This window comes from Homo sapiens, chromosome 3 (genome assembly GCF_000001405.40).
Source record: "Homo sapiens chromosome 3, GRCh38.p14 Primary Assembly".
In the NCBI taxonomy this organism is placed as follows: Eukaryota; Metazoa; Chordata; class Mammalia; order Primates; family Hominidae; genus Homo; species Homo sapiens.
The window spans coordinates 187,879,446-187,905,728 of NC_000003.12; the positions used below are offsets into that span (position 1 = coordinate 187,879,446).

The following is a 26,283-nucleotide window of genomic DNA, read 5'->3' on the forward strand; positions in this document are numbered from 1 at the left end:
TTACTCATTATTGTCTTTCTCCTAATACCTGGTGAATATCTGGCTTTTAGAAGATTTTCAGTAAAGGTATATTCAATAAATATGAAAACAAATACCCATCATGTAAAATTAAAAGAAATTGGTCAGCTTTTTTTTTTTTTTTTTGGTATGGTTGGTTCATTTACATAAACTTTGCTTAACTGCATAATTTTATGAATATTATATCTACACAATGATACTATAGTAGGCTTAAGTGTTATTTCTTGCAATGTCTTTCATGACCACCCCAGATGTCATTAAAAGTTCTCTTTCTCCATTGTGTCATTGTACCTGTAATTATTTGTTGATACAGCTATGTTGGCCCACGGAGGAAACAGGATCTTTTTGAATTTGGAAACTGTCGTATTCGACTTTGTATCCACAGTATCTAATATTGAACTTAACATGCAGTGGTATACTAGGGCTGTTTTGTTTTGTTTTGAGACAGAGTCTTGTTCTGTCACCCTGGCTGGAGTGCAGTGGCACGATCTTGACTCACGGCAACCTCCACCTCCTGGGTTCATGCAATTCTCATGCCTCAGCCTCCCCAGTAACTGAGATTACAGGTGCGCACCACTGCACCCAGCTAATTTTTGTATTTTTGGTAGAGACAGAGTTTTGCCATGTTGGCCAGGCTAATCTCAAACTCCTGATCTCAGGTGATCTGCCCACCTCGGCCTCCCAAAATGCTGGGATTACAGGTGTGAACCACCACACCCAGCCATGCTAGGGTTTTTTGAATGAATGTGAATTGTTTTGAAATAAAATATAATAGTTTAAGAATATCTCAGAATGTATATGAAGGGATTTTTCTAAAGAAGAGGATCCCTGAAATCAGATAGTAATTTGATTTTGTTGTTGTGGAAGTGACTGGCCATTTGCTAATTGTCCAAATTGCTTGGTCGTGTTGTCAGTATGAAGTTAGTTTTTTAATTTGGATATTAAGGACATTTGCCTGCTCCTCACCTTTATTTCAGAAGCCCTCCTTTTCATTGGCCATTCTTTAAACTAGGAGATAAGCTACAGATTCCTATTATAAGCTTTTATGATCTTTAACAGAAACACTGCATGCAACTAAATATCTAATCTACCAGCCTTCTCAAAAGCACATATCATGCCTTTGGGGTAAAAGAAAGTTAAGAAATCATCAGGAAAAATCAGTCAATGAGATCAGTTGAGATGACTCACAACAATCTCTTCCAATTCAAACTCCTCCCACCATATAGCTGCTGCCATTTTTAGCAGTGGATAATGTCGCCTTAATTCTGCAGATAATGTAAATCTTAACTTAGACAAAGTAAAGAAACAGAATTTAGCCAGGAAATGAGAAGAATCAAAGATGTCATGACTGCTATCTTTAAATACCTAGAAGGTCTAGTAAGGTGGTGAATCCCCCAGCATTTATGTGAGAGTCCCAAGATCTAAAATTTAAAAAAAAGACAGTGAGTAGAAATTAATACATGGTTTGACTCATTATAGGGACCAACTTTCTATCAGACAAAATATTTCATTAACAGAATAGGCTGCCTCAGAAGTTAGTGAGTCACTGTCAGTGACAAGTAGGTAACCAATGCAATCAAAATAAATTAAAAATATTTATTGGGTACTTACTTCAAGCTGGACACTGTTTACGGCACTGGAGATGCAGGCAATGAGTATAGCAGAATTATTGATCCTAAGGGGACCCATAGAGCAATGGAGGAAGATAGACAAATGAGCAGATAACAATATATTGTGACAAATGTTCCAGGACAGGTGGAGGTAATATACAATGGGAACACAGAGAAAGGAGTAATTAACTGAAGCCTCAAGAAAGGCTTCAGAGAGAAGGAGATATTTGAGCTCAATCTCAAAAGTGATTAGGTTTTGAAGAATATTGAAAGTACTCAAGTTTTGAGGGAGTGGGTTACGAAGAAACTCGGAAGGGATTCTGTTGAGGAATTGGACTAACTAAATTTCCCCTTTCTTTCATATCAAAGATTCTATCGGTCTATAGGTTGAAGAACATCTATTTTAAAAATGCCATCCTCTCTTCCCCAGGAACATGGAACAATTAGAAGTAGAATGTTTCCTAGTATGTGCCCTTAGAGAAATCTACATAATGATGGGATTATGGTGTTTGTCAATCAGCATAAGGTTTGGCAGTATGGCTTTTTCTCAATGTGGGGAGGGTCCTCAGAATGACTTGTTCTGGTAAGTAGTTCCTCAGCAACTCCCCCACACTTTTCATTTGCCCAGCAAGTCCATTCATGGTGGATGGTACTATGGCAAATTTCAGCCTATTGAAATGATCATACATTCAATATTTGTGGTATTCAAGCCTCTGAAATTTCATGGTGATATCTCTTGCTCTCCATTCCATAGACGGAGCTTTGGCCACGGAGAAGGTAAATGTCCTCCACATGGGGCTTACTACTGGACTACAATTTATTTGAGCCTCATTTAGCAGACTCTCATGTATATGATTAACACATAACCCTTTGAAAATGCAAACAGTTTTTACCTTTAATTTTTTTTTTACATCAACCATAATCTTCCTGGCTGACACTAAGAGGTTGGGTAAAGAAGATTGGAGATTTTCATTTATTTGTTTGTTTTATTTGCCTATGAACTTCTCCAGCTGGTTTCCTGCCTCCTGCAGGAACCTCTTGGACACCTAAACTGGCAAGTTAATTTTAGATATTAGCTTCATGTCTCTCATTAGTAAAATTGGGTTTAAAATAATTAATTCTAGGAATCCTGACGCTACAGTCATTAAACCACCAACATGCAGGATATAAAAAAGGCAAGCACACTGTTGGAGCTGAGATTCTATTCATCTGGTTTTTTTGAACTAAGTTCACCATTTTTACTTGAAATAAAACCACTTTTCAACCTATATTCACATTCACATAAATTCCTATAAATGAATGTATACAACAATTTTATTCATAATTGACCCAAACTAGAAATAACCCAAATGTCTGTTAATTGGTGAGTGGTTAAACAAACTGGAAAATGCATACAACCAGTTTCTTCTCAACAATAAAAGGCAATGATCTACTGATACACATAACAAAACAGATAAATTTTCAATGCATTATGTTAAGTGCAGGAAACTACACTCAAAAAGTTACCTATCCTATGATGCCATTTTTATGGTGTTTTAGGAACGGAAAAAATACTGGCCTTCAATATAGACCATTGGTTGCCAGGAACTGGGGGCGAGGAGAAGCATTGATCACAGAGGGGTAAGAAGCAATATTTTGGGGTAATGCAACTGTTCTAGATCTTGATTATGGTGGTTACATTGACTATACACATTTGTCAAAAATCAGAGAATTCAATGCTAAAAAGGATGAAATTTATTGTATGTAAATTACACTTCAATAAACTTGATTTAAAACAACAACAATAAAAACAAAGGAAAAACCACTTCCTCCCTTTTACCAGGACTTCAGGATATAAAGTTTCCCATATTTCTTTTCTCCACACGTGTTCACCTGCTTTTGACCCATCCAACTTCCCAATGTTGTCCTCCATTTTCTATGCTGTGCTTTAGACTCCATGTTCGTTGCGCACTGGCCTTGTCTACCATGCTTCCACTCTGCTTAATGTCTTCTTCTCATTTCTCAGCAATCTTCCAGTGTCTAAATCCTACCCATTTTTAAAGGCAAATCCAAATGCAACTTTCTGCCTGATGAGAAGTCTTCTCTACTTACGCTGGCTGAGAGAGGTTCAGCCCCAATGCATACCCTTTTCACTGCTGTGTTTTTATCTTATCTCCTGCACAAAGTAACAAACATCAGAATTCTTTTTAAAAAGTATTTATTATTTTACTTAAAATAATAAACACATTACATGTTAAATAAATAACATATTTTTTGAAAAATAACAATTTTTCTAAACCAAAACAGATACAGTGAGAAGAGTGATGCTGTTTTATATTTTTGCAGTTATCTCTTCAATGTCTGGCTTGAGGACTGCTTGATTCTCCCAGCTGCTGCTGTGTTCAGTCTGTTGCAAAATCACATGTCATGTAGCCTCTGGAAAACTCCACTGTACATTCATGATAGAATGAGTTTGAAAGAGGCAAATAATGTGTCAGTGCTATCATGAAATTAGTTAACCTTCTGATAGGATTCCAGAGATTTAGGGAGGTTCCAAGACAAAACTTTGAGAAGTGCTGCTGAAGACCATCTTCTTTTTTTAATTAATAAACTTTATTTTTCTGAGCAGTTTTATGTTCAGAGCAAATGTGGGCAAAAAATAGAGTGCTCCCATGTACTGCCTGTTCTCCCCACTCCCCCAACACACATACCCACACAACCTCCCCAGCTATCAACATCCCGCACCAAAGTGGTACATTTATTATAATCTGTAGACCTATATTGACACATCATTATTATGCAAACTTCACAGTTTGCATTAGATTTCACTCTTGCTGTTGTACATTTTATTCCATGGGTTTTGACAAAGATACGATGACATGCATTCACCATCACAGTATCATACAGAATGGGTTCATTGTCCTAAAAATCCTTTTTGCTCTGCCTATTTATTTCTTCCTTCCCTTTCACTCCTGGAAATCACTGCTTCTTTTACTATCCCCATGGTTTTACCTTTTCCAGAAAGTCATATAACTGGAATCATATAGTAGGTAGCCTTTTTAGATTGGCTTCTTTCTCTTTGTAACATGATTTTAAGTTTCCACCATGTCTTTGCATGGCTTGATAGCTCATTTCTTTTTTTTTTTTTTTTTTTGAGACAAAGTCTCACTCTGTCACCCAGGCTGGAGTGCAGTGGCGTGATCTTGGCTCACTCCAACCTCCACCTCCTGAGTTCAAGTGATTCTCCTGCTTCAACCTCCCAAGTAGCTGGGATTACAGGCACGTGCCACCACGCCCGGCTAATTTTTTGTACTTTTAATAGAGAGGGGGTTTCACTGTGTTAGCCAGGATGGTCTTGACCTCCTGACCTCTTGATCCACCCACCTTGGCCTCCCAAAGTGCTGGGATTACAGACTTGAGCCACTGCACCTGGCCAGCTCATTTCTTTTCAGCACCGAAGAATAGTCCGTTATCTTTATGCACCATATATTTTTTTTTTGTCCATTCGTCTACTGGTTATTTCCAAGTTTTGGCTGTCATGAATAAAGCTTCTGCAAACATTGATGTGCAGGTTTTTGTGTGGACATAAATTTTCGATTCACTTTGGTAAATACCAAGTGCACAATTCTTAGATTATATGGTAAAAGTATGTTTTGTTTCATAAGAAACTACTAAACTGTCTCAAGTGGCTGCATCGTTTTGCATTCCCATCAGCAATAAACAAAAGTTCCTCCGGCTCCACATCCTCACCAGTGATCAGTATTTTCAGTGCTTTGGATTTTGGCCATTCTAATAGGCATGTAGTGGGTATCTCATTATTATTTTAATTAGCAATTCACTAATTGCACATGATGTTGTAAATCTTTTCATAGGCTTACTTGTCATATGTATATCTTCTTTGATGAGGTGTCTGTTTAGGTCTTTTGCCTGTGTTTTTAATAAGGTTGCCCATTTTCTTATTGTTGAATTTCAAGACTCCTCTTTATGTTTTAGATAACAGTCTTTTTCTGAGATGTGTCTTATGCAAATATTTTCTCTCAGTCTGTGGCTTGTCTCATTCTCTTGACATTGTCTTTTGCAGAGCATAAGTTTTTAATTTTAATGAAGTCCACTTTATCAATTATTTCTTTCAAGGACCATGCTTTTGTGGTTATATCTGAAAAGTCATCATGGGACCCAAGATCATTTAGGTTTTCTCCTATGTTATCTTTAAAAAGCTTTATAGTTTTGCATTTTCTGTTTAGACCTATGATCCATTTTGTGGATCATAATTTTTGTGATGGGTATAAAGTTTGTATCTAGATTCTTTTTGTATATGGATGCCCAGTTATTCCAACACCATTTGTTGAAAAGACTATCTTTGCAGCACTGTGTTTCCTTTCCTCCTTTGACATAGATAAGTTAACTATATTTGTGTGGATCTATTTCTGGGCTTCTTTTTCTGTTCCACTGATTTATTTGTCTATTCTTTTGCCAATATCACACTGCCTTGATTAGTGTAGCTTTATAGTAAGTCTTGAAGTCTGGTAGTGTCTGTCTTCTGACTTTCTTCTTCCCCTTCAATATTGAGTTGGTTATACTGGGCCTTTCGCCTCTTTATATAAACTTTAGGATCAGTTTGCCGATATTCTTGCTGATACTTTTATAGGGATCAAGTTGGAAAGAATTGAAATCTTGACACTGTTGTTTTCCTATCCATGAATACAGAATATCTCTTCATTGATGTGTTCTTTGATATCTTTCAACAGAGTTTTGCAGTTTTCCTCTTGCACATACTTGTTAGATTTATACCTAAGTACATCACTTTTGGATTGCTAATGTAAATGGTAATGTGTTTTTAATTTCAAATTCCACTTGTTCATTTCCAGTGTTTAGGAAAGCAATTTACTTTTGTGTATTAACCATGCGTCCTGCAGCAGTGCTATAATTACTTATTAGTTCTAGGAGGGTATTCTTTGTCATTTTTTAAGGATTTTCATGTAGATAATTACGTCATTTGTTTCTGTGAAAAAAGACAGTCGTATTTCTTCCTTCCAAATTTGTATCCCTTTTGTTTCCTTTTCTTGTCTTATTGCATTAGTGAGGACTTCCAGTATGATGTTGAAAACCAGTGATGAAAAGGTACATCCTTGCCTTGTTCCTGTTTTTAGTAGGAAAGCTTTGAGTTTCTCACTGTTAAGTATGATTTTAACTGTAGGTATTTTTGTAGATGCTCTTTATCAAGTGAAGAAGTTTCCCCGGATTCCTATTTTGCTGAGAGTTTTTATCATGGATGAGTGCTGGGTTTTGTCAAAGGCTTTTTCTGCATCTGGTCATATAATCATGCGATTTTTCTTCTTTAGCCTCTTGATGTGATTAATTGCATTAATTGATTTTATTTTTCCTTTTTTTTTTTAGACGGAGTTTCGCTCTTGTTGCCCAGGCTGGAGTGCAATGGCGCGATATCGGCTCACCACAACCTCCGCTTCCCAGGTTCAAGTGATTCTCCTGCCTCAGCCTCCTGAGTAGCTGGGATTATAGGCATGTGCCACCACACCCAGCTAATTTTGTATTTTCAGTAGAGACAGGGTTTCTCCATGTTGCTCAGGCTAGTCTCAAACTCCCAACCTCAGGTGATCCACCTGCCTCAGCCTCCCAAAGTGCTGGGATTACAGGCATGAGCCACCGCACCTGGCCTCCATTAATTGATTTTTAAATGTTTAACCAGCCTTACATACCTGGGATAAATCCCATTTGGTTTTGGTTTATACTTTTTTAATACATTGTTGGATTCAATTTGCTAATATTTTGTTGAGCATTTTTTCATCAATGTTCATGAGAGATATTGGTCTGTAGTTTACTTCTTTATATGTAATGTCTTTTTCTGGTTTTGGTATTAGGATAATGCTGGCCTCATAGAATGAGTTAGGAAGTATTCCCTTTCCTTTTATCTTCTAGAAGAGATTGTGGAAAATTGGTATAATTTCTTTTTTAGAAAAATCACCAGTGAATCCATCTGGGACTTAAAACAAATTTTTGAGATAATTGTGGATTCACATACAGGTGTAAGAAATAATACAGAGAGATTCCATGTACCCTTTATTCAGTTTCTCTCCATGGTAACATCTTGCTTACTGGTTCAATATCACAACTAAGCTATCACATAGATATAATCTATGTATCTTATTCAGATTTCCTTAGTTTTACTTGTACCCATGTGTACACAGATATAAGTAGTTCTGTACAATTTTCTCATGTCAATAGAAATATGGGTTTCTTACCCACCACTATACTCTGGATACAGGAAAGTCCAGATTCCCCCCTAGTCTTTTTTTTTTCTTTTGGCAGCAGTCTGGTTACTACATTGCTAAGTGACAGAATCTCAGTAAATATTTATCAACACATTTTCTTAGGGGATTTCATTTGTTGCAACCCAGTGATGATTACTAAGATTCTCTTTGTTTTGCTGTCCCTAGAACTGGCCCCACAGGCCATCGCAAAGCACTGTAATTGATGGGCTTTTTTCTGCATCAGAGTTGCTAAATTCAGCATCTTGTACAGGTCATGTATATGTCACATTTTAACATTAGGGGCTGGTGAACATGACACAACTCCCTTCCTCAGGTGAGAGATGACCTATCTGCAGTTATAGGGCTGAGGGATGGTACTTCACATCTACAGGATAAGTATTGTATTCAACCTGATTTCAGAGTCTAAGATATGGCTGTGTCTATACTGTACCTTGGTGGTTTGGGAGGAAAAGTGCCATGCAATATAACTGATTTATTCATTAAAAAAGTTTTGAGAGATGGTTATGTGTCATCCTTAGTAGGGAAACAAAGAAGAATTGAACAAAGATTTTGACCTAAAGGTACTTGTGTACTAGCCAAAGAGATATGACATATAAATATAATTAGTCTTCTTTCTCACCACTTCTCTTCACAGCCCTATGCCCTAGCCAGGCAAATGGCCCATTCACTAGCGGCTAAACCTCACATAATTTCCCTGCCTCTGCTTTGATTCATAGATTTCCTCTGATTGGCCCCCTTTTACCTCTCCTTGTCATTTCTTTCCCAAAACCAATCTCACATTCAAACTCCTCCATAAAGACTTTCCTGATACCCCCACAACAGGAGGTGTTTTTTCTCCCCTCTAAAATCCTTCCTATTGGGTCTAAAATGTCATATTTTGTATTTGAGTTAGTTATACCTATGCCTGAGCTTCCCTGAGAAGACATGAGCTTTGAAGGCAGGATCTACGTCTGTGAAGCTGTGGATCCGATCATGTCGCCCCAGTATAATCAAGTGCAATAATATTCTGTTACAGTATAATTCATTTCCATAACAAGCATTATTCCAATCTCCCCATCTACCTCTCTGCATATGAAAATTAAGATGTAATTATGTTATGAACATTTGTTATGGACCCTGGAAAATATGAGCTAAAGTACAGAACACTATATATATTTTTTAAACTTTTATTTTAGGTTCAGAGGCACATGTGCAGGTTTGTTATTTGGGTAAACTTGTGTCACAAGGGTTTGTTGTACAGATTATTTTGTCACCCAGGCACTAAGCCCAGTACTCAATAGTCATTTTTTCTGCTCCTCTCCCTCCTCCTACCCTTCACCCTCAGGTAGGCCCAAGTGTACATTATATTCTTAGGTTTCCTTTCTAATATTGGTTTTATGATCCTCAGGCCTGCAAGCATTCCCAGATTTCCTGGAGCAAAGATTATCCTCCTAGTTTCTAAACAAAATTCCCCAAGGAATGGAGAGATTTGGTAATATTCTGCTATGGAATGTCAGAGCTGGAAGATACTTTAGGGATCATCTAGTTCAAACAATTTGTTTTGAATATGACACTGTCTTGGAAGCTTGTCTGAGGTCACAAGGCGATTCAAGGGCCAAGTCAGACTAGAAAACAGGTCTCCTGGTGGTCACTATAATGTCTCTCTCTATAAACATAAGGCCATGCTGCCCCTGATCTTGCTCAGCATCTGTCTGAAGGTTTTCCCTGAAATGATCCTGGATGAGTGCAAACATCACAAGGACCCACCAGAAGCTTTACTGAGACCATTTGGATGGCCTTCCATGACATTGAAGAACTCTGTAATGATGGAAGTAGCTGGACATAATATGTCCCCAAGAGTCCCAAAAGAAACATATGGTGACTGACACAAGACTACGTCCAAAGACGGCAGCCAGAGCTGATAGGGGGAGATGTCTTTAGAACTGCAGACTCCTGGAGCCGGGGAGAACCTTGGAGAGCATCTAAAATAGAAAGCAGCACTTCAGCATGCAGGAGAGGTCTTGCCTTCTAGAAGTGACCCTGCTACTTACAGCCATGTAACCCTAGGCAAGACACTCCCCATCTCCAGTACTCAGTTACCAAGCATATCAAATAAACAGGTTGGGTTAGATAATACTAAGGTATTATCTAATACTTTCGGATATCTGGTACTATCTGATAGTTTTTTGTTCTGCAAAATACTACATTTCCTACTTTGACAGATGGGGAAATGAAGGCTTAAAGAGGTCTGATACCTTGCCTTAGGTTATAAAGTGAGTTGGTGGCACAGTGGTGACCAGAGGCCTGGCCAGCATTTTATCCACTGCCCCACATGGCCAGAATCATCTCATCCCCTGCCCTGTGGCCTTGTAGTAGATTGTGCAATTGCTCTCACAGGGCTGTTGCAATTGACCTCTTCTCTATCTCTGGGGACTGCTGGCAGCATTCAGAGAGCTACCGGAGAGGGGTCTGAGCTGTCTCTGTCCTGGAAGTGGAGCATGGGTCAGGCAGCTCTTTCTTCTCTCTCTCTGTTGAAATGAAACCGAAACAAAACTTCTTAATTTGGAGGCAGAGGGGCCAGAAAGGAGATGCTCCTCATCCTCTGCAAAGCCCAGCATCTCTTTCCCTTCTTTAGGGGATAGAGAAGTCTCCTGCCTGAGTCTCTGCAGAATGAAGCCAGATGACGAGTTAGAACCTGAGCAAAGTGGCATGACCCGGGAAAAGCAATACCTGGACATGGTGCAGAAAGACTTCAATCAGCATGGTACACAGACTTACTTTCTGTGTGACCTTCAGTCACATCTGATCCCATCCATAAACAGGGAAGAGGCAAACAGAAAAAAAAAAAAAGGAATGGTGTTATTTCAAACTAATATTACATTTAAGACTTACAATCTCGGGGGGAGGAGCCAAGATGGCCGAATAGGAACAGCTCCGGTCTACAGCTCCCAGCGTGAGCGACGCAGAAGACGGGTGATTTCTGCATTTCCATCTGAGGTACCGGGTTCATCTCACTAGGGAGTGCCAGACAGTGGGCGCAGGTCAGTGGGTGCGCGCACCGTGCGCGAGCCGAAGCAGGGCGAGGCATTGCCTCACACGGGAAGCGCAAGGGGTCAGGGAGTTCCCTTTCCGAGTCAAAGAAAGGGGTGACGGACGGCACCTGGAAAATCGGGTCACTCCCACCCGAATACTGCGCTTTATGCACCATGAGATTATATCCCACACCTGGCTTGGAGGGTCCTACCCCATGGAGTCTCGCTGATTGCTAGCACAGCGGTCTGAGATCAAACTGCAAGGCGGCAGCGAGGCTGGGGGAGGGGCGCCCGCCATTGCTGAGGCTTGCTTAGGTAAACAAAGCAGCCCAGAAGCTCCAACTGGGCGGAGCCCACCACAGCTCAAGGAGGCCTGCCTGCCTCTGTAGGCTCCACCTCTGGGGGCGGGGCACAGACAAACAAAAAGACAGCAGTAACCTCTGCAGACTTAAATGTCCCTGTCTGACAGCTTTGAAGAGAGCAGTGGTTCTCCCAGCACTCAGCTGGAGATCTGAGAACGGGCAGACTGCCTCCTCAAGTGGGTCCCTGACCCCTGACCACCGAGCAGCCTAACTGGGAGGCACCCCCCTGCAGGGGCACACTGACACCTCACACGGCAGGGTATTCCAACAGACCTGCAGCTGAGGGTCCTGTCTGTTAGAAGGAAAACTAACAAACAGAAAGGACATCCACACCAAAAACCCATCTGTACATCACCATCATCAAAGACCAAAAGTAGATAAAACCACAAAGATGGGGAAAAAACAGAACAGAAAAACTGGAAACTCTAAAACGCAGAGTGCCTCTCCTCCTCCAAAGGAACGCAGTTCCTCACCAGCAACGGAACAAAGGTGGATGGAGAATGACTTTGACGAGCTGAGAGAAGAAGGCTTCAGACGATCAAATTACTCTGAGCTACGGGAGGACATTCAAACCAAAGGCAAAGAAGTTGAAAACTTTGAAAAAAATTTAGAAGAATGTCTAACTAGAATAACCAATACAGAGAAGTGCTTAAAGGAGCTGATGGAGCTGAAAACCAAGGCTCGAGAACTACATGAAGAATGCAGAAGCCTCAGGAGCCGATGCGATCAACTGGAAGAAAGGGTATCAGCGATGGAAGATGAAATGAATGAAATGAAGCGAGAAGGGAAGTTTAGAGAAAAAAGAATAAAAAGAAATGAGCAAAGCCTCCAAGAGATATGGGACTATGTGATAAGACCAAATCTACGTCTGACTGGTGTACCTGAAAGTGATGGGGAGAATGGAACCAAGTTGGAAAACACTCTGCAGGATATTATCCAGGAGAACTTCCCCAATCTAGCAAGGCAGGCCAACGTTCAGATTCAGGAAATATAGAGAACGCCACAAAGATACTACTCGAGAAGAGCAACTCCAGGACACATAATTGTCAGATTCACCAAAGTTGAAATGAAGGAAAAAATGTTAAGGGCAGCCAGAGAGAAAGGTCGGGTTGCCCTCAAAGGGAAGCCCATCAGACTAACAGCGGATCTCTCGGCAGAAACCCTACAAGCCAGAAGAGAGTGGGGGCCAATATTCAACATTCTTAAAGACAAGAATTTTCAACCCAGAATTTCATATCCAGCCAAACTAAGCTTCATAAGCGAAGGAGAAATAAAATACTTTACAGACAAGCAAATGCTGAGAGATTTTGTCAACACCAGGCCTGCCCTAAAAGAGCTCCTGAAGGAAGCGCTAAACATGGAAACGAACAACCGGTACCAGCCACTGGAAAATCATGCCAAAATGTAAAGACCATCGAGACTAGGAAGAAACTGCATCAACTAACAAGCAAAATAACCAGCTAACATCATAATGACAGGATCAAATTCACACATAACAATATTAACTTTCAATGTTAATGGACTAAATGCTCCAATTAAAAGACACAGACTGGCAAATTGGATAAAGAGTCAAGACCCATCAGTGTGCTGTATTCAGGAAACCCATCTCACGTGCAGAGACACACATAGGCTCAAAATAAAAGGATGGAGGAAGATCTACCAAGCAAATGGAAAACAAAAAAAGGCAGGGGTTGCAATCCTAGTCTCTGATAAAACAGACTTTAAACCAACAAAGATCAAAAGAGACAAAGAAGGCCATTACATAATGGTAAAGGGATCAATTCAACGAGAAGAGCTAACTATCCTAAATACATATGCACCCAATATAGGAGCACCCAGATTAATAAAGCAAGTCCTGAGTGACCTACAAAGAGACTTAGACTCCCACACATTAATAATGGGAGACTTTAACACCCCACTGTCAACATTAGACAGATCAACAAGACAGAAAGTCAACAAGGATAACCAGGAATTGAACTCAGCTCTGCACCAAGAGGACCTAATAGACATCTACGGAACTCTCCACCCCAAATCAACAGAATATACATTTTTTTCAGCACCACACCACACCTATTCCAAAATTGACCACATACTTGGAAGTAAAGCTCTCCTCAGCAAATGTAAAAGAACAGAAATTATAACAAACTATCTCTCAGACCACAGTGCAATCAAACTAGAACTCAGGATTAAGAATCTCACTCAAAACCGCTCAACTACATGGAAACTGAACAACCTGCTCCTGAATGACTACTGGGTACATAACGAAATGAAGGCAGAAATAAAGATGTTCTTTGAAACCAACGAGAACAAAGACACAACATACCAGAATCTCTGGGACACATTCAAAGCAGTGTGTAGAGGGAAATTTATAGCACTAAATGCCCACAAGAGAAAGCAGGAAAGATCCAAAATTGACACCCTAACATCACAATTAAAAGAACTAGAAAAGCAAGAGCAAACACATTCAAAAGCTAGCAGAAGGCAAGAAATAACTAAAATCAGAGCAGAACTGAAGGAAATAGAGACACAAAAAACCCTTCAAAAAATTAATGAATCCAGGAGCTGGTTTTTTGAAAGGATCAACAAAATTGATAGACCGCTAGCAAGACTAATAAAGAAAAAAAGAGAGAAGAATCTAATAGACGCAATAAAAAATGATAAAGGGGATATCACCACCGATCCCACAGAAATACAAACTACCATCAGAGAATCCTACAAACACCTCTACGCAAATAAACTGGAAAATCTAGAAGAAATGGATAAATTCCTTGACACATACACTCTCCCAAGACTAAACCAGGAAGAAGTTGAATCTCTGAATAGACCAATAACAGGATCTGAAATTGTGGCAATAATCAATAGCTTACCAACTAAAAAGAGTCCAGGACCAGATGGATTCACAGCTGAATTCTACCAGAGGTACAAGGAGGAACTGGTACCATTCCTTCTGAAACTATTCCAATCAATAGAAAAAGAGGGAATCCTCCCTAACTCATTTTATGAGGGCAGCATCATTCTGATACCAAAGCCAGGCAGAGACACAACCAAAAAAGAGAATTTTAGACCAATATCCTTGATGAACATTGATGCAAAAATCCTCAATAAAATACTGGCAAAACGAATCCAGTAGCACATCAAAAACTTATCCACCATGATCAAGTGGGCTTCATCCCTGGGATGCAAGGCTGGTTCAATATATGCAAATCAATAAATGTAATCCAGCATATAAACAGAGCCAAAGACAAAAACCACATGATTATCTCAATAGATGCAGAAAAGGCCTTTGACAAAATTCAACAACCTTCATGCTAAAAACTCTCAATAAATTAGGTATTGATGGGATGTATTTCAAAATAATAAGAGCTATCTATGACAAACCCACAGCCAATATCATACTGAATGGGCAAAAACTGGAAGCATTCCCTTTGAAAACTGGCACAAGACAGGGATGCCCTCTCTCACCACTCCTATTCAACATAGTGTTGGAAGTTCTGGCCAGGGAAATTAGGCAGGAGAAGGAAATAAAGGGTATTCAATTAGGAAAAGAGGAAGTCAAATTGTCCCTGTTTGCAGACGACATGATTGTATATCTAGAAAACCCCATTGTCTCAGCCCAAAATCTCCTTCAGCTGATAAGCAACTTCAGCAAAGTCTCAGGATACAAAATCAATGTACAAAAATCACAAGCATTCTTATACACCAACAACAGACAAACAGAGAGCCAAATCATGAGTGAACTCCCATTCACAATTGCTTCAAAGAGAATCAAATACCTAGGAATCCAACTTACAAGGGATGTGAAGGACCTCTTCAAGGAGAACTACAAACCACTGCTCAAGGAAATAAAAGAGGATACAAACAAATGGAAGAACATTCCATGCTCATGGGTAGGAAGAATCAATATCGTGAAAATGGCCATACTGCCCAAGGTAATTTACAGATTCAATGCCATCCCCATCAAGCTACCAATGCCTTTCTTCACAGAATTGGAAAAAACTACTTTAAAGTTCATATGGAAGCAAAAAAGAGCCCGCATCGCCAAGTCAATCCTAAGCCAAAAGAACAAAGCTGGAGGCATCACACTACCTGACTCCAAACTATACTACAAGGCTACAGTAACCAAAACAGCATGGTACTGGTACCAAAACAGAGATATAGATCAATGGAACGGAACACAGCCCTCAGAAATAACGCCACATATCTACAACTATCTGATCTTTGACAAACCTGAGAAAAACAAGCAATGGGGAAAGGATTCCCTATTTAATAAATGGTGCTGGGAAAACTGGCTAGCCATATGTAGAAAGCTGAAACTGGATCCCTTCCTTACACCTTATGCAAAAATCAATTCAAGATGGATTAAAGACTTAAACGTTAGACCTAAAACCATAAAAACCCTAGAAGAAAACCTAGGCATTACCATTCAGGACATAGGCATGGGCAAGGACTTCATGTCTAAAACACCAAAAACAATGGCAACAAAAGCCAAAATTGACAAATGGGATCTAATTAAACTAAAGAGCTTCTGCACAGCACAAGAAACTACCATCAGAGTGAACAGGCAACCTACAAAATGGGAGAAAATTTTCGCAACCTACTCATCTGACAAAGGGCTAATATCCAGAATCTACAATGAACTCAAACAAATTTACAAGAAAAAAACAAACAACCCCATCAAAAAGTGGCCGAAGGACATGAACAGACACTTCTCAAAAGAAGACATTTATGCAGCCAAAAAACACATGAAAAAATGCTCATCATCACTGGCCATCAGAGAAATGCAAATCAAAACCACAATGAGATACCATCTCACACCAGTTAGAATGGCAATCATTAAAAAGTCAGGAAACAACAGGTGCTGGAGAGGATGTGGAGAAATAGGAACACTTTTACACTGTTGGTGGGACTGTAAACTAGTTCAACCATTGTGGAAGTCAGTGTGGCGATTCCTCAGGGATCTAGAACTGGAAATACATTTGACCCAGCCATCCCATTACTGGGTATGTACCCAAAGGACTATAAATCATGCTGCTATAAAGTCACATGCACACGTATGTTTATTGTGGCATTATTCACAATAGCAAAGACTTGGAACCAACCCAAATGTCCAACAATGATAGACTGGATTAAGAAAATGTGGCACATATACACCATGGAATACTATGCAGCCATAAAAAATGATGAGTTCATGTCCTTTGCAGGGACATGGATGAAATTGGAAAACATCATTCTCAGTAAACTATCGCAAGAACAAAAAACCAGACACCGCATATTCTCACTCATAGGTGGGAATTGAACAATGAGATCACATGGACACAGGAAGGGGAATATCACACTCTGGGGACTGTTGTGGGGTGAGGGGAGGGGGGAGGGATAGCATTGGGAGATATACCTAATGCTAGATGACGAGTTAGTGGGTGTAATGCACCAGCATGGCACATGTATACATATGTAACTAACCTGCACAATGTGCACATGTAGAGTATAATAAAAAAAAAAGGCAAAACCATATTAGAAAAACAGAAAAGAAAAAGAAAAAAAAAAAAAAAGACTTAAAATCTCTCTTGGGGCCAGATACAGAAAGCATTTTCCTCACCTGTTTTCTTTTCAAAACAGTAGAAAAACTGTTTTTAAAGAAGGGCAATTAAAGTAGACTAGCCCTGAATGATTTTTCTAATTGTTACAGAAAATCTGATGGTTTTCTTACCTTGAAGTCATGTGTACTAGGTCTTCCAATTCTCTCTGAAGGGGAAGCCACATGGCTTCCTAGATCCTTAAGAAAGGATAACCCTTATTGATAAGCCTCTGTTTATGACATGACTTGCCCAGGGTCACACAGAAAGGCAGCAGTAGAGACAAAAATTACATACAGATTGCCTGTCTCGCAGTTTCCCTTCCCTGTTGTTGGAGGAACGTAATGAGGGTAAGAAAGGAAGGGGTCTCCAGAGAGATGTAATGGCTATTTCTAAGCCATTTTTAAAATAAGCTTCAGATGATCAAAAGTTCGAGGTCAGAGGATAATTTAGGCCATCAGAAGTTGGCCAGATTGGAGTTAGGTCCTCTAGAGAATTCTGTCCTTTGGCAGTCAAAGACAGTGATGGACGCCAAGCCAGGCCTGTGATTTGGGCACAGGTCCAGGCTCTAGCCCCCTCTGGAGCCGGGCTCGGATCTTCACAAGGAGCTCTGCAGCAAGCAGGGTCTGTGCTTGAACATACGCTTTTAATCAGAGTCGCTGGAACCTGGATGGGGCCTCAAACATAATTTAATTCAGTCCTCTCACTTTGCAGATGTAGAAATTGAAGGCCAGATTGAAGGGTGGGCTATGGAATGCTTGCACAAGGTCATCTGTCAATTTAGGGAACAGCATGGTAAGGTGAAAAGGGATCGCTTTGGTGTCATTGCTGGGTTCCAAATCCCCGCTCTGCCGCGTATTAGCTAAGAGACCCCAGGTAAGTCACTTGACCTCCCTGACTATCAATGTCCCAGTGTGTAAAGTCGGGACCATAATTACAATGCCTGAATCACTGGATTGCTATCATTAAATAAGATGAAAAATAAGAAAGTGATTTGTAAACAGGAAGTCACTTTTCATACCACAATGTTAATATTAAATTATAATAAAACCCAACCCAATAAAAGCAGTCCACTTTTCTGAATGCCCACCACATGCCAAGTGCCAAGTACTTCACATACCTTGTTTCTTTTAATTCACACAATGAATGACCCGAGGAGAACGCTCAACTAACAACCATGTACTTGAACCAGGGGTTTAAATCAGTCATACACACAGCAGGATTTAAATACTATCTTCCACATGGTACCTTCAGAAACGTGGGCCTGGGATTTCATTCATGGGATACACATGGCTCCCCCCCCCGTACCCCCTGCCCCCTCTGTATTGAGTGGGTGGCTCTCACCTGTGGAGGGCAGGGTGCTCTCATGTTTGTTTATACCAGAACATAGAATAGAACTTGGTAAAGGTAAATGCTCATTTAAGAAATAAAAATACATCAAATAAAGTAAAAAGCAACCTGGTAGATAGCATTTCCTTTTCATTTTTTTAAAATAGCTTTATCGAAGGATAATTGAATGGAAATGGTCATTAATATATATCCAGAATCTATTAACGTTCGGCTAAGTTGGGGGGAACATAGGGATGTTTTAAGGCAACTAAGCGATTTAGAAAACTTAAGTTCTTTAATGTTTTCAAAGAAAAGGTTGAGTCTGTAAGATATAATCTGGCAATTTGTATAGAACTCTTTCTACTAGCTTCCAGGAATCCCTGCTCTGTGAGCTTTTTGCCAAACTGATTGATCTTCCCAGACATAATCTGGGGACCTTCTCTAATATGCCCCTGTCCCGCTGTCAGCTTAATACACTCTTTTGCTAAGTAATAGGGTATTGCTAGTGTTCTTCCAGGTTCTCTTCATAAAGGCGCTTCTCTGTCAATAAGAGACTGTGTTTATATTCTTGTGCACAAATAACTGGCCCTCTTCTCAGTGTTTGAGATCCCTCATCTTGCTCCGACTGTTGCAGCCTTTTCTCGCCATGACAGACTGCCATACTACATGGCCTTCTCCCATCGAAAGGTGAGGTCAAGTCTCCTTCCTCTGAATCTGGGTGGGGTTGTGACTCACTTTCAATCATTCTAATATAGAGTAAGTGATGTTGTGTGATCTCTGAAGGTATGTCATAAAGAAAATGATGCCATTGCCTCCTTGTTCTCTAGGGTCTAGCATGTGGACCACTGAACTGCCAAGGAAGCAGTCCAACTGCCCTGAGGCTGCCATGCTGTGAGGAAACCCAAAGTGGTCCATAAAGAAGGATTATGTGGAGGGACCCTGAAAGATGCCTGGCCTGCCTCCCACTGCTCCAGTACCCTCCTCCCCAACTCTTCCAGCTTCAGCCACTGTCTGCAACCACATGAGAGCTCCCGAGCCATAAATGCCCAGCCTAGTCTCCCCTAAGTTTCTAACCCACAGTTTAAACTACTAAGCTTGGGTTGCTTTGTTATGCCTCAATAGCAACTGGGACATGCCCCTTTCTCCATTCTGCTGCTGAATCTGGTTACAGCAGCAGAGACACATGCCAGGGGCATCTCTAGTAACAGGGGAAAGCCCTTTGGGAGTAGATTCAAAGTGGGGGGTCAAGACAAATTATTCAGCGAGCCTGACTTTTAGAACTCAAGGGGCACCAAGTAAGTGCATGATCCTGAGGCAATCAATTCCTCTCGTTTTCCTTTTTTTGTAAAGGGATGAACTAGACACAGTGTGGAAAGCCAGCTTTACCACATTCTCCTACGATCTTCTGAAGTTACCTAATCTCTCTAACCCCAGATTCCTCTTCTGTAAAATGGGGATAATAGCCACAAAAATAGAACAGTAGTGTAAAATTAGATAGTATGTGTGGAAAAGTAGAGTCTTGAAACTTGACTTAAGTGGTTGATGAATGTTAGCCCCCTCCACCAATGCCTTCCCCTTGCATTCTAATATTCTCTGCTCCTCTGAGCAAATTTACCAGATGATTGTTGGAGTTTTTTGTAATCCTCATCAAGTCAGAGAAGACTAGTGAGGTTGTGGCAAATAAATGATTCTGAGGGTCCAGGGCGAGCTTTAGGTAAATTGTGGTTTTAGTGTTTGAGAAAGAGCCTGTCACTAGTGGGAGTCTTCATTATTCACTGGCAAGATATAACAAGCAGGGCTTTGCAGTAATGCACAGCTCCTCTGCTCTTGGCAATCTTGTGGCCGAAAGATATTTTTAAAGCCCCTGTTTTCAGATGACCGTGTTTCTGATTAGCATGTGTCTTTTCCATTTTCAGTTCCACGAAGAGAAAGGCAAGTGAAATTTGCCCAGCCTCACCATCTCCAAATGGGTGATATTACTGAACAATTATTTAATGGCCCCACAGCATCTGTTTTTTATATTTTGGGGTCCATACTGGAAGTTCAAGCTTATGAATAATCCAGATATTTAAAAGCCAATGCTCAACTGGATATTCTCCTTAGGATTATTTTAGCCTTGTCTAGAATCAGAGTGTCTGTCAATTGCCACAACATATATATTAAGTTTGAAAGAGATTAAGCTGGAAAATTCGATATTTTAAAAATAATACCAAGAGAGGCTGGGAGCAGAAAGAGAAGAAAAGATAACTATTGGGTACTGGGTGATGAAATAATATTTACAATAAACCCCCATGGCAAGTGTTTACCTATGTAGCAAACCTTCACATGCACCCCCAAACATAAAATAAAAGTTAAAGAAAGAAAAAAACAGAAACTCTTACTTATAACTCATTTCATTTAATAACGTTTTTACTCTTTTAAAAATAAAATAATGCTAATGATGATGATAACAGGGTTCATACCTGTAGAGCATTTTACAAGTGGCAGAGAGCTTTCATTGATATCATTTCTCTTAAGTCTTCACCCTGTGAGGTAGGCATAGAAAGAAATTTTATCCCCAAATGACAGATGAAAAAATAGAGAGCCCATGAGTTTAACTGACTTGCTCAAAGCCACAAAGGCTGCATTTCCTGAGCCTGAGTACCCCTAGGAAGAGCTCCAGCCAATCTAGGGTGCAGAACCAATGAGTTAGTTTATCATTTATCAATCCCAGTGATGCATAAGCTGTGCAGAATTAGAAAGGTCAGCTCCAGGCTGGCCCACCAAAAAAGTAGAGGAAAACTTGGGAATGCCCACTAGCCTATTCAGAAGTTGGATTCAGGTTGGGAGAAAGAAAATAGGAGCCGAATTATTTTGAGGTGGTATACACGAGTTACCTATTGCCATTGTAACAAAGCCAGCACAAACTTGGTGGCTTACAATGACATAAATTTATCCTTTTACAGTTCTGGAAACCAAAAATCCAACATTAATTTCTCTGGGCTTTCAAATCAAGCTGCCAGCAGGGAGAGTTCCTTCTGGAGGCTGTAGGGGAGAATGTATTTCCTTGCCTTTTTCAGCTTCCAGAGATTCTCATATTCTTTGACTTGTGGCCCCTTCCTCCATCTTCAATGCATATAATCTCTGTTTCCATTGTCACACAACTCTCCTCCTACACCTTACAATGGACCCATCTGGATGACATGGGATAATCTCTGCACTTCATGACCCCTAACTTAATCACATCTGCAAAGTCCCTTTAACATGTAGGAGAACATAGTCCCAGGTTCCAGGAATTAGGACATGGGCATCTTTGGGACCATCATTCAGTCTACCATAGGTGACAAGGTGACAGGCGGATGGTGGCCACCGTTTTTTTTTGCATGGTTGTGTTTGCCTGTCTGAAAGCCACACTCCTCACTGCCACCTGACATGTAGAGGCCAAAATAGAAAACACATCTTCAGATCCCAAGTAAAGTGCTCTTTCAGGCACGTCACACCTGCCATCTCAAACTATATTTACATTCATTTTTGCAAATAGCCCATTCTTGTATAGAAGGCAATTAATATTTGCATAATGTTTTAGAGTTTATAATGGCCTTTTTATTTACATGAAGTCACTTAAACCCCTACAATAGCCCTCTGAGACAGTTATTATTAACACATTTTTACATATGAAGAAGCTAAGGCTCAGCGGGGTGAAGTGGTTTGTCTAAGGTCACCCAGCTGGTAAGGGCAAGACCACAATGCAAATCCCAAAAGTTCCACTATATTCCGCTCTAAATAATGAGTCTATACTGAAGTCCACTTACTAGCCATGGTGGCTTATCTTTTGGGGATACTCTGAAGGTGAATGGGGTCTCCATTGCGCTTTTGAGATAAAATGAGTCAATAAATGTGAAAGTCCTTTGTAGCAGTATGACTCACTATGACAGAAAGTTATTGATAGCATTATCATCATCACCACCAACATCCTCTGCCCTGGAGACCAAGAGAATTCAAACAGGTCAGCACCTCTAATTGCTGTATAGAACATTGACCCTACTGTCTCCCAGTTCCTGAGGATGGTGTGATAATAATACATCTCAGAGTTCTGTAGTTTCTTCACCACTGTGCAGGTGTGGTTGGTGGGAGCAATGCCCTGGATGGATAAGCCAAGCTCTTGTGTCCTGGCAGATAAACAAGGTGAACCCTCAATCCGTGTAGCAGGAGTTTCCAGACAAACTCACTTTGCATGGAAGGACACTAACCCTTCCAGGTGCATGGAAATATTTTGTAGTTTTTACTGTCTCCCCCTTCCTCCACTGCCTCATCTTTTTTGTTTTTTCCCCTGTGAGACTATTTGCTCTGCATTTCAGATGTGTCTAATTTTGTGGAAAGGAGAAGGTTGGGAGCTCCGGAGCTAATAGGATGCACAGGAGGAAGATACGGAGCACAGTGGCTGAGACCTGACAGCTCTCTGAAGACTCCACTTCACCGCCGCCACTCCACTTCACCGCCGCCAGCCCTGGCCCACACCTTTCTTAAGAGCAACTTAAGAAATTTGCAACTTCAAAACCAGACCAGAGGGTGAGAAGAACTAGCCAACCCATCCTCCAAGTGTGACTGAGCGGTCAGGCTGCCCCCACCTCATTTGAGTGAGACCGCCAAGAGCCTTCACGTGGGACCTAGACCACAGGAACACAATTAGGAAGTACTCCCTGCCCCTCACAACGGCCATCCTCACCAGGCAGCGGGGACAGAAGGGAGGCAGGTGCATTCAAATCGCGCTGGCCTGAAGAAGGGAAATGAAGCGCTAAACTCAGCTCGGTCCCACAATGAGTCAGAATGGGGGCAGGGAGGAGCGCCCAAAGCCCTCTGGCCCTTCTCCTTGGGAACTAGTCCTGCACATGGCCACCAGCCCTGGGAATCACAGCATTTGGCATGGGTCTCAGTTCTTGTACTCCATTGCTGTGGGACAAGAGACACTAAACTTCCAGGTTTTCTCTCAATAGCTGGCTTCACCTGTAAACACAGTGGCATATTAGACAAGCTCTCTTCATCTGAAATGTGCCCACCCCCCCAACAATCCCACCTTTGCCTGCTCAAACCTGACTCATGCTTCATGTTCATATTCAACTTCTTCCCTTGTGCTTCTAACTAAATCTAGGAATCTCCTTGTTCTTAGAACCACCTTTATCCCTTCTCAGATATTTATGTATATCAGTTTTTAAATGAAAATAATTTCTCACCTATTAAGCTGGGCACCCTGCTAATCACTTTCACACTTGCTGTTTAATTTGCTGTTTTGCTCCCTAATATTAGACAAAAACTCCTTGAAAACAGAGACTGTGTCTGACTCATCGCTCCTTCCCCCACCAGGCACTATCCTCTCAACAGTTACTGGATTAATAATTTTTTAAAAAATTTTAAAAAACTATTTTAAAAAAATATAAATTAGTAAAAACTGTGGCATTAGCATGAAATGACTAATATGTTCAAGTTCCACTTGAGGAAGTTAGGGTGATGTCAGTGAAAACCTGCCCTTAGAGGATCCCTGCCTGCATGAGGGACTCTGGGACTGCAAAGTGCCAAGAGAGCCTTACTCAGGGTGACCACAGGAAGGTGAGCCAGAGGAATCTTCATTTAGGGAGAATCTGGCAAGAAAATTCCAGGCATCTGCTGGAAGCCATAGAATGTAGGTGTAAGAAGCAAGTGAGGATGGTATGGAAAGAACTAGCTGAGAGAAAGCAAGTGAGAGCTGACACCAGAAAAAGATGAGGGTCTTAGAGTTCTTATTTTATGTGGTTATTTGTGAAGAATGCAGGGCCAGGTGCCTCAAAGGAGATTCACAGAGTATTAAGTATATTTGAGCCTATTTGACAAGCCCAGAAGACATTCCGAAGGGTCTTGTCTCTGAGGAGCTTGTGCCTGGTTGTGAGGAGGTACATTTGTTAGATATCATTTGTTAGATAGACTCAAGGTGAAATCTCAAAGCAGTTCACCTCGCTTTTGGCATATTTGTTAGATATCACTGCTCATCCTCCCTTGTTTCAGGATCTTCCCCAGGCCATGAGAGTCTGAGAAGCAGGTGGGGAGTGAAAAGAGCACAGGCATGGGGGTCAGGAGATGCCATTCACAGCCGTGGCTCCCCCATTTACTTGTATCACAAACTGGAACAAATTGCTCCACTTCTCTGAGTCTCCATTTCCCCATCTATGCAATGATGGGATGCAACTAGAATCTCACTGTCAGATTGAGTTCTACAACAAAGTGGTGTAGACTGCATGGCAACAAAAAACAAGAAAAATCTATTTCTCACAGTCTGGAGGCTGGAAGTCCAAGGTCAGAGTGCCAGTATGGTCGGGTGCTGGTGAGGGCCGTCATCTAGGCTGCAGACTGCCAACTTCTTGTTTTACACTCACATGGTAGTAAAGGTGCTAGAGAGCTCCCTGAGATCTTTTTATAAGGGCACCGATGCTATTCATGAGGTCCCACCCTCCTACTCTAATTATCTACAAGACGCCTCACCTCCAAATACCATCACACTTTGGATATGCTTCAACATATACAGTTGGTGGTGGGTGAGAAGCATGAGCGTTCAGTCCATAACAATCACTATATTTCCTCTGAGTTTCTCCTGCTCCTCCTCTTCTAAACACACCACCAGCAAACCTCTCTGTTCCTCTTCCCTGATGGTAAGAAGAGAGGTGGAGGGATCTCTTCTCACCATGGCTGGTCCAACCACCTATGAACTAGTCCCTTTCTCTTCAGCCTTCTTCAAGGACCTGCTTCACCAGTTATCCTCTTTACCTCTTGGATTATCAGTCTCTCCTGTTTCTGGAACTCCTTTCTTTCAGCCTATCAGTGTCCTTGAATCTCTCTAAATTCTTAAAACCATTTTTTTCATCCAGTAATTGATAAAGCTGTCTCCTCTTCACAGCTAAATTTATTGAGTATGTATTGCCATCTTCATGATCTCACTCCTTGCCTACACCCCACCCACTACAACCTGGCTTATAAACAACCACACACATACTCACACCACTGAAAACCCTCTTGATGAGGTCCCTGGTGACCTCCTCATTGTCAAATCAAATGATTTCTTTGCAGTCTTCATCCTCCTCATTCCCAAAGTGGTATTTGCACTAAAAACCAACTCTTCATCAGTCTTGAAATTCTCTCCTGGTTCTCCACAGTCTCTTCTATGCTGCCCACACTTTAATGTTGGGATGCTTCAAGATTTCACCTTGAGCCTATCTATTCCCCCTGACCCCACCACCCAAAGTTCCCTGGGAACACTCATTTGGTTCTAGAGCTTTAAGTACCATTATACCCTGATGACTCTAGTCCCTACTTCTCCCGCAAAAACCATCTCTGTCTTCCCAAAAGCCTATTCACATCTCTAGTGGGGTGTTTTTTACAGAAACTTAAAATACTGTGCTCCAAAGAGCCCTCTCCTATAGATTCACCAAATGTGCTCTGTGTCCTTTGTGTTCAGCCTTGGTTAACAGCATATTTTTCCACTCTACTTCTAAAGCTAGAAATCACAGAGTCTTCCTTAGACACTTCCTTTCCTTTACCCTCCGCATGTCAGTCAACAAACCCTAGGAGTTTAACTTCAGAAATTAATAGGCCTCATCCACCCCTCCCCTCCATCCACAATGCTTTGGCTCAAGCCCTCATTAGTTTTCAGCAGGACCACGGCAACATCTGCTCTCTGTCCTCCATGTCTCCTTGGGTTATCTTCCTAAAAAGCAAATCTAACCAAGACACACTTTTGCTTAGGAATCCCTATTGATGATCTATTGCCCATAAACTTGAGACAAAATTCCTTGGCTGGGGAACATAACACTTAACAATCTGATCTCAAGCTTCATCCTCAGCTTTGCCACCCCACACAGCCACTCTGAACTTCTTAACCAAACGTACCAATTCCTTTCACAATTTGGGGCCTTTGCATGTGCTGTTACCTTTTTCTGGAAAGTACTTCTGGCCTCCTGTGATTGGTAAACTCATATTTCAAGGCCCAAACTCCCATTTCACCATTTCTGTGATGTTGCCCCTTATTTCCTCCAGGCAGAACCCTTCGCTCTGCCCCAATCTCTCACAGCACTTATTTATGTCTCCATAATAACACTTATCACACTGTA

The 26,283-nt window shown here is 41.0% G+C and overlaps 2 long non-coding RNA genes across 2 annotated transcripts in view, besides 4 other annotated features; one reads left to right on the forward strand and one right to left on the reverse strand.

Moving 5' to 3' along the window:
- LOC105374264 (uncharacterized) overlaps window positions 1–11,257 on the reverse strand; it is a 59,909-nt gene extending 48,652 nt beyond the window's left edge. The window contains exon 1 of the long non-coding RNA XR_924813.3: window positions 10,769–11,257. This is a non-coding gene — a long non-coding RNA (uncharacterized LOC105374264). The remainder of the gene's footprint in view (window positions 1–10,768) is intronic.
- Window positions 10,312–10,915: an enhancer, noted in NCBI's record as "H3K27ac-H3K4me1 hESC enhancer chr3:187607545-187608148 (GRCh37/hg19 assembly coordinates)". NCBI's record gives its function as "activates a minimal SCP1, AML or CMV promoter by ChIP-STARR-seq in naive H9 embryonic stem cells {active_cell/tissue: H9 hESC(naive)}" and the evidence as "EXISTENCE:reporter gene assay evidence [ECO:0000049][PMID:30033119]".
- Window positions 10,916–11,519: an enhancer, noted in NCBI's record as "H3K27ac-H3K4me1 hESC enhancer chr3:187608149-187608752 (GRCh37/hg19 assembly coordinates)". NCBI's record gives its function as "activates a minimal SCP1, AML or CMV promoter by ChIP-STARR-seq in naive H9 embryonic stem cells {active_cell/tissue: H9 hESC(naive)}" and the evidence as "EXISTENCE:reporter gene assay evidence [ECO:0000049][PMID:30033119]".
- On the forward strand, window positions 18,178–23,429 carry LOC124906315 (uncharacterized). The gene is made up of 3 exons (XR_007096212.1): window positions 18,178–18,859; window positions 19,000–22,409; window positions 22,510–23,429. It is a non-coding gene; the product is annotated as an uncharacterized LOC124906315 (long non-coding RNA).
- Window positions 22,344–22,845: an enhancer, noted in NCBI's record as "H3K4me1 hESC enhancer chr3:187619577-187620078 (GRCh37/hg19 assembly coordinates)". NCBI's record gives its function as "activates a minimal SCP1, AML or CMV promoter by ChIP-STARR-seq in naive H9 embryonic stem cells {active_cell/tissue: H9 hESC(naive)}" and the evidence as "EXISTENCE:reporter gene assay evidence [ECO:0000049][PMID:30033119]".
- Window positions 22,852–22,901: an enhancer, noted in NCBI's record as "active region_20971". NCBI's record gives its function as "activates an Ori minimal core promoter by ATAC-STARR-seq in GM12878 lymphoblastoid cells {active_cell/tissue: GM12878}" and the evidence as "EXISTENCE:reporter gene assay evidence [ECO:0000049][PMID:35858748]".
- Window positions 23,430–26,283: the final 2,854 nt, after the last annotated feature.